The 14,173-nt window shown below is 37.5% G+C and overlaps 1 protein-coding gene across 2 annotated transcripts in view; it reads right to left on the bottom strand.

Annotated features, from left to right (window-relative positions):
• KMO (kynurenine 3-monooxygenase) overlaps window positions 1-14,173 on the bottom strand; it is a 63,265-nt gene that overhangs the window by 41,659 nt on the left and 7,433 nt on the right. For both annotated transcript variants that reach the window (NM_003679.5, NM_001410944.1), the window contains exons 2-4: window positions 5,086-5,155; window positions 4,210-4,307; window positions 2,940-3,029 (exon numbers count right to left, since the gene is read on the bottom strand). In NM_003679.5, coding sequence (NP_003670.2) covers window positions 2,940-3,029; window positions 4,210-4,307; window positions 5,086-5,155 — 258 coding nt within the window. The remainder of the gene's footprint in view (window positions 1-2,939; window positions 3,030-4,209; window positions 4,308-5,085; window positions 5,156-14,173) is intronic.

Genomic DNA, 14,173 nt, shown 5'->3' with positions numbered 1-14,173 from the left:
ATATTTTTAACACATATACACTAATTTATAAATCTTCACCTCATCCAAAAGTAGAAGTATACATTGGCAGCTAAATCTATACTTGGTGTAAAAATAACTTGGTCAGTGGCAATGACTGAAGAGGAAATTCTGGTCTTTGTATAATTTAAAATGAACAGAAACATCTTCATTCTCTGCCTCAAAGCTAGGTTATTAATAGACTGTATTTCAACAGAAATCAAACTTGCTATTTAAATTATGTTAGGAAACATTCAAATTATAAAGCTTTTTTAATTTTTAATTTTTTAAAAAATTTTTGAGACAGGGTCTTGCTGTTCCCCAGGCTGGAGTGTAGTGGTGTGATCATGGCTCACTGCAGCCTCAACCTCCCGGGCTCAAGCGATCTTCCCACCTTAAGTCTCCCAAGTTGCTGGGAGTACAGGCCCATGCCACCATGCCCGGCTAATTTTTAAATTTTTTTATAGAAACAGGGTCTTGCCATGTTGCCCAGGCTGGTTTTGAACTCCTGGGCTCAAGCAATCCACCTACCTTGGCCTCCCAAAGTTCTGGGATTACAGGTGTCAGCCACTGTGCTTGGCCCAAATTATGAAGATTAATTTACATGGGGAAAATATTTTCTTTCCACATCAGTCATCTGGGAACTGATAGACTTGTCATCCCTGCAGGAACACCAGAATGTCCCTTTCTAGTCTACTCCATATCTTTGGACAGTATTATATCATAACCAAATATTTGAGTCGTTCCCATCAAGTCTTACTTCTCCAATATTTAATTCTACAAGATTGATCTGATGAAGAATAAATAAGAATAAACAAGTCAAGCGCTATAAAGTGGCCTCTGTAACCAAAAAGATAATAGTAAAACCTAAAAAAGGTTAGATATATCCTTTGGAGATCTGTAAGACATTAGTTGTAGTACTGACTACCTCAGACATATTAGAAAAAAAGTTTATTTTATCTATTCTCAATACCTTCAAATGAGAATGTTTTCTACTAAGGGGGAGCCATTTCTCTATTTTGAGCATAAGAGGTTAGGTTAGGATTAAGAACTGAGGAGCTCTGACCTGCTCTGTATATTAGAGAATATTTTGACAGTTTCCAGGGCAATTTGGGGAGAAGATGGGAGGACCCAGCAAGACAAGAAGAATCTGGACATCACATTGGAGAAAGTTCAAAAGAAAAAACAGCTGAAGGAGGGAGGCCAGGGAAGGGAGTCAGAAAGGATTTTGGAGGTCAAAATTTGCAGATTAGAGATTTCTAAATTATCGCCCGTGCCATCCACAACGAGGTCTCTTCATGACCCGTAGGTCTTCAGCAGACCCATGCATCTTTTGAGTGAGTGTTGTCTGTGGGAATTGGTGGAGGAGATATATTTCAAATCCGGACCACCATGGTACACGGCCAATACCAGGTGAGAGGGAGTGGGGTACCAAGAGGCAAAGGAGGCCAAGAGAAGGTGGGCTCCCGGGGATGTGAAGAAATCCCGGAGTCATGGGAATGGCTTTGTGCTCCCACAGGCTGTGGAACTGACCAGGTAAAGCAATTTTATGCAGTTCTTAAAGGGCAAGGAGGCCGCCATATTTGACTGAGATATAAAAGTGACGATAAAGAAAAACTGAAGTATGTGGGGCCCCTATAAATTTTGCATAAACTGAGTTCTTAAGAATTGAGAAGTAGCAGGAATGATGCGGGAGGGGCCGTTTCCTCCTTGTAATGCATTGAAGGCCGCAAAAAGGGAACTCACACCAACGCTTTCACTCTCTTGGGGAATGTATGCACGCTCTTTCTCTCTCTCTCTCTCTCTCTCTCACACACACTCACACTCACACACACACAGACAAGGTGGTGGGGTGATGGTGTCATCTCCAAGTCCCTCTCCTCATTTAGCTTTTCTGATATTTGAACCGTATCTTATCTATGGATACATTACTGGTTCAGTCTCTGAAGCGGGGGCGGCTATGATGACTTGGCCTTCCTCAGGACATTCCTTGTTAATACAAGTGAACAGTGAGACGATTACGTTGATTTCACTCTCAACTCAGTGAAAGAAGTAAACACCCGGAAGCTCGTTAGAAACGTAGAACCTCCGCCTCCACCCCAGTCCTAATGAATCAGACTGCATTTTAACAGGATCCCGGGTGAGTATGAGAAGCACAGGTCTAGTTTCAATGAGAGCTCTGCTGAGGGTCAGAGACTTAGAAGAATATGAATTCTCACTCAGACGCTGCACTTCATAAAAGGAGGCATGGCTGGATAAAAATAAAGGAAGTTGGAGTTTTTCTGTTGTCGATGGATGTTTGGTGCATTCATTCTCTCTCAAGAAACAGAATCAGAAGGTCTAATTAGATAAAATACAAATACATATTTCCCCCTGTTCTGTGTGTTACTGTGTGAAAGATAGGGAAAGCACAGAGCAGGATAATGAGTCTCCTTTCATAAACTCTCCATCTTCATCTGGCCTCTGTTCTTTTAGAAATCATGTAGTACTCAAAGCATTTCTGGATCATTCCATACATTCTATTATAAGCCCAATTTTGAGCAAGAGGGTGAGTTAGGGAAGGGCAACAACATCATGAAACCTTCTAGATTGTTCTTGTACATTATGCTTGACGACAAATAAGATAGTCATCTTCTCTACCTAATTGAAAAGGAGAAAAGAAGGAAAGGCTGTCCCAGGTAGCAGGGCAGCGCAAAGGCAAGAAATGACACAATAAGAGCAGTAACAGCTAATTCTTCCTGAATGTTTATTCTGGGCTGGGGCTTGTTTTGAGCATCTCCTCTGAATAAACTTGCCAACTAGTATCTGTATTCCTGGGGTCTAGACTGAGCCAAGCAATGTCAGAGATAGGGCTGGAGAGAGAGGGGCCATCAAACAAGAGGCAAGTTCCAGACTTTGACTTCCTTATAATCAATGCACAATGATCTCCGGGGTAAACCTACCTGAGACTTTGTCCCATAGGGAATTGCAGACTTTTTTCCTGAAAGAGAGTGGATCATTCTTGCTCTCATGGGAATACCTTGGGATACAATCTGAAATGAAACCAGAAATATTGACTTCAATGACAGTAACATGGCATTATGCAAGAAAGATAGAAGTTGATTTTTAAATGTAATTTCATATATTCTCCAAGAAATTTTAAAAATTGTGAAAGACCATAGAAGCCCAACGTGGTAGAAACTCCTTCAATGAAAATGGTGATCCTGAAGCTTTTAGTTTGTTTTTTTAATCTTAGATCTTAGAACCGGCTTAAAATTTATCTGATCTAAATCGAATATCACAGATTGAGGGAAGTGATTTGTTGTTACAGAGGTTAAGTGATTTTCTCATCATGACAAAAAGGGAGATTATGAGGAGTAAAACCCAGGGTTCCTAACATTCAATGCAAAGTGTTTTCTTACACATGACTGCTGCTATCTGGGAGAAAATAATAGGAATGCAAATAGCACTCATATTTGCTAGTACTGTCAGCTCAAAGACACATTGTCACTGAAAGTAGTATCAAGAAAAATACATCTATCATGTCTGTTTATATTACCAAGCTAACATAGACAGTGAAAAGTTCTACAACATTAAGCTCACATGATGAAAATCTACTACAGGCCCACCATTCTTTATCCAAACCCATGGGGCCTGATGGTTTCAGAATTCAGAATTTTTCAATTTTAGAAAGTAGTGTAGTACACATATGCTGGATATCACATAAACCCGCCCCATAATCAAACACAAAATTTCTGTAGCAAAACATATTTATGCTAAATGAGATTTTTAAAAGACTACAAAGAGTCTCATGTCAAGTCAGATTTTGCTACTCAATGAGTGATGAGAAGCTTTCTATTTTCAGAGTCTTTTTGGAGTATAGAATTGTAGATAAGATATTACGGGCCTGTGCAATTGAAAAAAAAAAGGAATCTGGCTCCTTTTATCCTGGATGCCATCTTGACTCTCACTTTCTACAGGCAGTGACGCACCATCCTGTTGAGAACCCAATATCAGAAGCAATCATCCGGTTGCAGGGTCCTCCTCGGGTGCCTCGAGTGTCCAATGTTCACCCTCTTGCCAAATTTCGAATTTTAAAAGCTTTAGTAGAATGAGTTTTCATGCAGAGATTCTTGGTATTAAATGGTACTTTTTAAGCCAGGATGAAATCAAACCATGCAATTGTTGAAAAATACCAGGTATTATCTTCTGTAAGAAAGATACATTAAGTACCTGATCTTCCAGGCCAACAGCTTTCAAGGCTTGTCGTCCTCTATGAGAAAGGGCTAAGTTAATGCTTCTTCCACGTGTGAAGGTAGCCACTCGAGTATCTGAGACATTGGAAGCAGACTCCATGTTACGCACACTTTATATCCTAGCTCAGGATGAGCAAAATTACTGCATCTGAACAACTGGTTCATTCGGAACCACATTAAAGAACTTCTTAACTCTTCTAAAGAAAATGCTAATAGCAGTAACTTTATATTAAATTAAATTTAGATAGTTGGTGTTTTTTTTTAAACAAAACTAGTTTTTTTAAGAAAAGCGTTTTATTAAAGAAACTTTTTAAGTTCAGAAAATCTAAAGAAAAGTCAAAGAATTAGAACCACATCCTGCAATTCTTTTTCTTTCTTTCTATCTTTCTTTCCTTCTATCTTTCTTTCTTTCTTTTCATCTTTCTTTCTTGCTCTTTCTCTCTTTCTTTCTTGCTCTTTCTCCTTTCTTTCTTTCTTCCTTCCTTTCTTTCTTTCTTTCTTTCTTTCTTTCTTTCTTTCTTTCTTTCTTTCTTTCTTTCTTTCTTTCTTCCTTTTCTTTCTCTCTCTCTCTCTTTCTCTCTCTTTCTTTGGGTCTTGCCCTTTCACCCAGGCTGGAGCACAGTGGCATGATCTCGCCTCACTGCAACCTCCGCCTCCTGGGTCCAAGCAATCCTCCTACCACACACCACCACACCAGGCTAATTTTTGTATTTTTTGTAGAGATGGGGTTTTGCCATGTTGCCCAGGCTGGTCTCAAACTCCCGGCCTCAAGCGATCCATGTGCCCTGGCCTCCCAAAGTGCCAGGAGCCACCGTGCCCAGCGTTCATCCTGCTTTTTTCACCATGGACGTACCTTCCCTAGCTTCATATACATCAATCTGGAAATTCCTCTTTGCAAGAAAGCATGCTTGTAATGAGCCAACCTAGAAATTAAAAAAAAATTAAATATTTATCTGATTCCACAAATATAGGGAATTTTTAGCAGCAAAATGAAACATCATGTGAGGCTATGTTTTACTAGCCTCACATTGTGTGTGGTCATATTTTACCAGCCTCATTTATCACATTGATTTACTCAATTTCTGCTGAAAAGTATCAGTGGCAAAAATAGCAATATTTATTCAAGATTAAGTAATATGATTTTAGAAGTAGTTTTTTTTTTTTTTACTTTTTTATAGTGAGGTAATTTTCAAACAGAAAGAACATAAAACATATATATCTTACAGAATAATTAGAAAGCAATTCTTTATAGCCTTATATCCCTTATAACCACTACTTTGGTCAAAAAGTAGAATAGCGTCATTCCTCCAAAACTCCCCCCACCTCCTCCCCAGTTACAGTCCTCTTCCTCTCACATAGACGTAAACATTATTCTGACTTCTGTGATAACCCATTCTTGCTTTTTTACATTTTAGCCTTTAGGTATACATATTTCTAAGCAATATACTTTAATTTTACCCATTAAAAATTTTTTAAGTTTTTTTGTAGAGATGGGGTCTCACTATGTTGCCCAGTCTGGTCTCAAACTCCTGGGCTCAAGTGATTCTCCCACCTTGGCCTCTCAAAGTGCTAGAATTATAGGCATGAGCCACTGTGCCCCGCCATTTACCCATTTTTTAAAACCCTATAGTTAGAATCACACTGTGTGTGTGTGTGTGTGTGTTTTGTTTGTTTTTGCATCTTGCTTCTCTAAGGCAACATTGTGGGATTCATTTATATGGTTACATGTAAACTTAAGGTCATCTTTTTTTTTGTTTCTATATGATTCTTCATTAAATGAAAGATCACAGATTATCTGCCCTACTGTCAAAGGACACTTGAGTTGTTTCTGGTCTGGGAATATGTTAACAATGCTTCAAATAACATTTGTGTGTGTGTGCAGGAATTCTGGTACATATATGATAACTTTTTTTCAAGGGTTCTATACATGGAAGTGGAATATCTGGTCAAAAGTTTATGTACCGTCACTTTTCTGATGCCAAACTGTTTCAAGAGTTGGTTGTAACACCAGCAGCTTCTGAAAATTTATCTTTGCCAGCACTTGATGTTCTCAAACTTTTCATTATTGTGGAGTGGGAGGGTGGGAGCTGGTAAGTTGGAGAGGAATGTAGTTTTACTTTGCATATGCTTAATTACTAAAGAAGTTGAGCACTTTTTTTTTTTTTTTTGAGACAGAGTCTCGCTCTGTCACCCAGGCTGGAGTGCAGTGAGCACTTTTTCATATATTGATTGGCTGTTTGGATCTCCTCTTTCACCAAGTGTCTGTTTAGATCTTTTGCCCATTTTCTATTGGGTTGCCTATCTTTTTTCTTTTCTTTCTTTTTCTTTTGTTTAGTTGTTCATAGAGTCTGAATATAGAGTCTTTGTCATTTTTAAACATTAAAAATATCTTCCATTCTGTGTCTTGCTTCTTAAATGCTATAGTCTATTTTGAGTATGAGAAGCTGTTTATTTTAATGTAACCATATTCACCAATCTTTTATTTTATTATTAATGCAATTACAATAGTCATTTTATTTTTAATGCAATTACAAATGTCTTGTTCAAGAGATCTTTGCCTATTCTGAGATCATGAAGAATTTTTTCTGATCTCTTGTCTTTTTAAAGCTTTAGAGTGTTGCCCTACCAGTAGCTTTATATAGGCTGTGGTAGTTTACTACCTCATCACTGGCAACCTGTATTTGGTAAAGTCATCTGTATATAATTATCACACTTGAATTTTCAACAATAGTCAATACCGTTAACTAAACCTTCTGGAAACATTAACCTTCTCTCATTTTCTGGTTTTCTTCATACGTCTCTGGCCAGTCCCACTTTTCCTCTTTCACCATTGCAAAGACGGACAAATATTGGAGTTTCTCAAATCTCCATCCAAGTCTGTCTTCTCCATCCATGATGATGTGAAAATGTATATTTCCTATCCAGATCTGTTTTTTGAGCTCATGCATGCAAATGTTTAAGTGATACAGCTTCTTGTATGTCTCAAAGCACCTCAAAATCAACAGATCCGAATTGAAACTTGCGATCATCGCCTCCCATCTCATCAATTCTCTCCACATATTCCCTATGTAAGTGAATGATATGCCATCCATCCAGTTGCTCAAACTAGAAAGCTAGGAGTCACCGTCTCTCCTTGATACTCCATTCCCAGTTCTGCCAGTTCTACCTTACAATGTTTTTCCATCTACCCATCTCTTTTCATTTTCACCTTTCTGCCTCTAGTTATTGGAATCATTATGCTTAACTAATATCAAATTTTCTGTGTATTCTACCAGCATTCATTTTGCCTCTTTCCAATTTATTTTCCACAAGCAGTAATTTAGGGTGATGGTGTAATAGGTCATTTGAACTAATACCTCTACTGAGAGGAAAAGGAGACGCAGAGAGATGACCTGGCATTTGGAGCCATGCCTACAGGCATCTACAAATGCAAGAGAGGCTGAGGACTTCAGTAGAATTTTTGACAGACTCATGAAACTAGAAGTACAAAATTTGGAGTCTGGGACACTCCCGCACCCCTTGCTCAGGAGGGCAGGTTCTGATAAACCCCTTATGTTTTAGATCAGGACCCTAAACAGGTACATCCCAGGAGAAGGGCAAACTGGAAGGAAACCAATGATCCAAGGGCCTGTCTGGAAATCATCTCTAGTCCTGATCAGATTGCATTAATTTTTGATTGCTGGTAATCACAGCCACCCAACAGAAACAAACATAAATCCTCTCTGGAAAAAAAATGACATCACCATAAGCCTCAGATTTTCCCCACATTTTAAAATATACAAATCTGATCATGTCACCCTTCTGCCCCAGCCTTGCTATCCTTCTTTTAGCCATTGTATTTGCCATGCTGCCCCTTGCTGAGGGGTTTAGCGTGTATTATATCCATGGCCAGAAGTGTTATCTTTCTTCTTTACATAGTAAACTTCCTTTCATCCTCCAGGTCTCCACTCAGCTTCACTCTCTAAAAAAAGATTTCCTGGGCCACCCTACCTCAAATCCTGCAATTATGAGTTCTCACAGTGCTTTGAACTTTATCTTTGGGGTAAATTGCATCCTTCCAACTTCATATGTTCAAGTCCTAACCCCCAGTACTGTAAGAATGTGACATTATTTGGAGATAGGATCTTAATATAGGTAATCAAGTTAAGATGATATCATTAGGGTGGGCCTTAGTCCAATATGACTTGTGTCTTTATAAAAAGGGGAATCAGACACGCATTGAGGAAAGATGATGTGAAGAGACACAGAGAGAAGACTTCCATCTACAAGCCATGGAGAGGGACCCGGAACAGATCTTTCCCTCACAGCTCTCGGAAGGAACCAACCCTGCCGACACCTTGATTTTGGACTTCTAGCACCAGAACTGTGAGACAAGACATTTCTGTTTCTTAAGCTACCTGGTTTGTGGTGATTTATTTATTTTGGCAAGCCTAGCAAACTAATACAAAGAGCTTACAACAACAGAAAATTTACATCTTTAGAGTGATTCTATAATCAATATCTGTCTGTCCTTCTAAGCTATCAACAGGTTTTGCTCACCATTTTATTCCTAGCATCTACCATTGTGTTTGTAACATAGTAAGTGCTTCATATATATTTGTTCAGTGTATAAATAATGGTAGAGATTACATTTTTAAGTAAAGTTTGTAACCAAGTGAAGCCAAAATTTATTGAGCCCCTACTAAATATAACTTAATCTGCTAAATTTTAGGGACTCAAAGGTTACCAAGATAAGTCCTTGTGCCCAGTAAACACCCTATTTAGTAAAAAGAGACAAAGGTATAAATGTATCAATGTTTAATGAACCACTTTTGAGTATGGAGGCCCACTTCTTACATTAAAAATTTGCAGATTCTTTTATATTATTTGAATTTCTAACATGGATTGTTTAAAAATATATAATAAATTTAGTCACAAATCATCTACATATACTTTAAAAATAATTATGTGTTTAAGTCATATAATTTTATCCTACTTACTCAAAATTTTGTATGCATGTTATTTCACAGACCCCTTGCAAAATAGCCCTGGGCTCACAGGTAAAAATCAATGTAAAAAACAAAAAGAATAAGTCAAGTTCTAGAAAACACACATGAAAAAGATTAATTTTTTCTTGACAAATGTGGCAAATTGTATTTTTCAAAGATGGTCATGATGATATCCTTTATCCTACATGCTCTTCTCCAGTGTGATCTTGATACTCCTTCATCAACACATGGGGTTTATTTCTACAATCTCTTAAATCTAGAAGGGCCTGTGGTAGCTTTGACCAAAAAAATGCAGTAGAAGTTACCCTTGAGCCATTTCCAAGCGTAGTCCTTAACTTGTCCAGAAGCTTCTGCTTCTTTCTTTTAGGAAGTCAATTATCACAAAAGACAACAGGTCGTGAGAGTTGGAATGAAGACACAGGAGGTTCATTTATTAGATTGGTGCAAAAGGAATCACGGTTTTTACCGTTAACCACAATTACTTTTGCATCAACCTAATAGAAATGAGTCTCTCTTACTGAGAAAACAGGTAGGGAGAAAGGCAAGTAGGACACTAAAGCCACAATCTAAACAACAAGTGATCAGTGAAAATCTAATGTAGGGAAATGGCCTAAAAGGAGAGATCCTGGGATTCAGAAGCAAGAAATCCATTCATCCATCTCCTAAAAATTCAACCACAGTAAAGGAGCTACAATATATAATGCTGCAAACAAAGCTCTCAGTGACTGTGTTGGAATAGGATCAGCTCTAAGCCAATGATGGGCCAATGGTCTGGTTGCATGGGTTTGTTACGTTCTTTTTCTTTGATGAAAATTGATTCCAGGATCTCAGAGGAGGAGGGCTGACCAAGGTGGAGATTCTGCCTCAATACTTCTAAGGTTGGCAGATGCCAATTCATACCTTTCCAACGCTTACGTGTTTGCCAACTGAACATGTATTAATTGTTTTTATGGGAGAATAAGGGATCTCGGGTAGTGTGGGCACATTAAGATTAAATCTAACTTAGGCTCATGAAAATATTAAGTGCTAGAGAAGATGAGGCCTAATGGGATCTCCTACACATTGCTTGTAATTATCTTTTCAAGTTGGATATTCACATATTGAACAAACCAGCAATTCCTCTTAAAGGCATATACACAGGAGAAACTTTTGCTATATGTATATTGGGTGACATGTGCCAGGTTGTTCAGTGTAGTGCCTTTCATAACTAAAATAGACAAACAAAAAAGCGGGGAATAGCCCGAATGACTATCAGAGTGGAATGAACGAACACATTATGGCATATTCACACAGTGAGATATGATATGAATATATTAGCAAGACTATAAGTGAAAAAATAAGACTCAGATAATTTTATACTGCATGATACAAAATGAAAACAATCAGAACTAAACTATAGACATATGCAAATACATAGTTTTTGAAACACATAAGTAGTATTCATATGTACGTGTATACATGAGATAAATATGTAAATAATATAGGATAAAACTATATATAAAGAGGCAAGGGAGTGACAAATAAGACTTGGCATAATGCTTCTAATGGGTGGGGGACGAGTACAGAGTTGATGAAGTCACTGGCACTCTGTCACTTCTTGTGTTGAGTAGTAGATTCATGGCCGCTTATTGTTATTATTATTAATAAACAAACAAACAAGGAAGTAAAAGTGTTTTCTCCAAGACCAGTCATAATACTGTGTAAGGAAATAGATCTCGTATAAATATGACCGCAATTCTGTGTAACGGAGGTTCAAATAAATTTAAAGAAAAAATACAATAGTAGGTGTTACGTCGGTTCAGCCAGAAGGGGTAGTAATGGGCGTGGCTAACAATATAGCTTTCAGACTGTAATTTTCTTTCCCCTCTCACTTTCTGTAAAAAGTGCTTAATTGGGAATAACTGCCAGTGCCATCTTGAGTTGTTAAGCTGGCAGGAAGGACTAAGACAGAAATATATAAGTGGAAAGAAAATGTGGTGTGTAAAGCATGCTAAGCGCACCACACACTCTTGGTTAAGGCACAGCTGGGTTCCTGAGCATAAATAGTGAAGGAGGACAGCACAGGAGAGAAGAAATTGGGCAGGGTTAGACAGCTGGGAGAAACAAAACTATTTTTTGATTCTGGTTCTGAGGGTAAAGCCTTAATAGAGACAGGACTGTTCCCAGTAAGGACATGAACAATTATGAAAAGTTTCTGTATTTGTTTCGAAGCACCAAACGTTCACGATAGTGAGATGTTTGCTCACAAAATAATTTTGCAAATTAAACATTTTTATGAATAACCAGTCTAACCTGTTTGTGTGTACAAGACTTTGAGGACATTCCTTGGTTACATAATTATGGATTTACCCAATGTATCATTATCTCGCTTCTCCACTTTCTTCTGTCTCGTCATACTTCCTTATTTACAGGTCATGTGCTGTATAGGGATGCCTAACCTACCACTTAAAAATATTATTTGAATATTTCCTTTCTATAAATGTTGAGGTATGCTTCTCCAGTCTTCCGTTGCTGAGCTTTTCTGTCAGTTCCCATGTGACCCCTCTAACAGCAATTGTTCAAGTAGCCAATGATCATGAGAAAACTGTAAACCATTTAAATTTATAAATGTTGACCCTTGAATCTTACATTGAACTGATAAGCAACAAAAAAATAAAAAGAAAGAAGGAAAGGGAAAAACTGTGATCCTATTAGGAAGAGGAAACAGGATTATAAAAATTCCGTACATTTTATGTCTTTTGATATAATATATTTGAAATTAATCTGATAGTGCAATATTAAACATTTGTCAACTACTTTTGACTTAATGAAGCGTATAACACCTTCCCTAATCCTTAAGAATCATGAATGTTTCTGAGTTTTCTGTCTATCTAACTTTTAAAAAGCTTGTTAATAGTGTTGAAATCCATATTTGGTCATGAAACTATAGTTTGACGTCTCAAGATTTTGATCTTTGGGTATATCAATGCAATGAGAAGAATCAGACTGTTAACTCTACTTACAATGCAATAAGCACATCAGTGTCTTCATACTTTGTTAGTAAATATTACATCTTCCAGAATTGCATATGTTATGCCAAATATTGTTTTATTATTTAATCCTTACCCTGAGTTCTCTAATCTGTGTCATCTGGAATTGATCTCTAAAGCCAAGCAGTGGTCTTGATTTTCCCTCTTATGAGAAGGTGAATGATGCACATTCCTGAGTGCTCTTAAGAAAATTTATGACTTTTACTCTAGTCTTGATCTTCGTCCTGAACTCCATCTGTGACTACTGAACCTGTCTATAGGCATCTCCCTCTCAACATAGCTAAAAGTTGACTTATTCCCATTCCTCAGCCCTCTCATTCTCCTTCTTCTGTATTCTGTATTCCATAAACTTTCTTCCTCCTTATATATTTCATATCTTAGAGAATAGCAATTGCATTCACTAATTCACCCAACCAGGGTAGCTCGGTGAATATTTAACACCCCTCTCTACCTACCAGTATACATGAAGCTAGGCAATACGTCCTATTGATTGTTCCTCTTCAGTCTCTCTCACAGCAGATCTTCTGCTACCCACAGCTCTGTCCTTACATGGGGCCCTCATTAGCTTTTACCAGGCTACTGCAACCGTTTTCTAATAACCCTCTTTCCCCAGTCTGTATGCATTCAATCTGTACTCTGCACTAGAACTAGTCATCTTCTTTTTATTTTCTTTTTAGACAGGGTCTTGTTCTGTCACCCAGGCAGGCATGCAAGGCTGAGATCATAGTTCACTGCAACCTTGAACTCCTGGGTTCAAGTGATCTCCTGCCTTGGCCTCCCAAGTAGCTGTGATTACAGGTGTGCTGCTATGCCTGGCTAATTTTTTTAATTTTTGTAGAGACAGGATCTTGCTATGTTGCCAAGGCTGGTCTCAAACCCCTGGGTTCATGTGATCCTTCTGCCTCGGCCCCCCAAACAGCTGAGATTATAGGCATGAACCATCATGCCCAATCACTAATTATCTTCTAAATAAGATGTTGAATGATTATTTTTGTCTTACAGTTGTTTATTAGCTCCTTATCTTTTCAGGAAAAAATTCCAAATTTTCAATATGACATAATGGATTCTTACATGTGATCCCAACCTCTTTCTCCAGTTCATTATGCACTATTCTCATGCACTATCTCATGCACTATTCTCTTGCACCATCTGTAATAGGCATACTAAATTTACTATATGTTTTCTGAATATGCCATGCACTTTTATTCTTCCATGCCTTTGAATACTATCCTTCCCTGCCTTATATTCAGTTTTTGGAAAATGCCTACCTTTCCTTTAAGACTCATATCCTCAGTGTAGTTTTTCCTGATACCTCTACTCCTCCAAAAGACTTGTTTGCCTTTTCTTCTGTAATTATATATATATATGTATATAGATGTGTTTTAATGTCTCAAGTACATTGAATTATTTATTTATAGTCTTGTCTGACTTCCACCAGGCAGTAAATTCCCAGAGAGGAATAATATTTGCATGGCTTGTATTTTGTCTTTTTATCTCTGATATAAACCACAAATTCTAATGAATTAGAAAATACAGGTAAATGTGAAGAAAAAAATAATTCCTCACAATTTTACCACCAATGGCAACCAATATTAACATTTTCTATGTATATAAAATACATGATATTTCTTTTCAAAATGGTAACAGGTTGTATATTTTCTTTCATAATTTCTTTCAAAAAATGAAAAGTGTACTCTAAATACATTTCCACGTCAAAAGATGTCTGAAGTAAAAGCATTTAATACTTGCATTACATTTGATTGTAGGCAGTGTGCTTATATTTGGATATTCAAGTTATTTTAATTCTTTAGCATTATAGACAATTGTATGACGCATACACGTTTCTTTTGATAAAATCTCACTAATGAAATGGCCCACCAAAGGGCAATTTTGAATAAAAGGGATTGAAACACTGGCCAATTCC

The sequence above is a fragment of the Homo sapiens genome, chromosome 1, assembly GCF_000001405.40.
Source record: "Homo sapiens chromosome 1, GRCh38.p14 Primary Assembly".
Classification (NCBI taxonomy): Eukaryota; Metazoa; Chordata; class Mammalia; order Primates; family Hominidae; genus Homo; species Homo sapiens.
The sequence above is the reverse complement of the archived record's forward strand: the minus strand, read 5'-3'. Positions and strand labels throughout refer to the sequence as shown.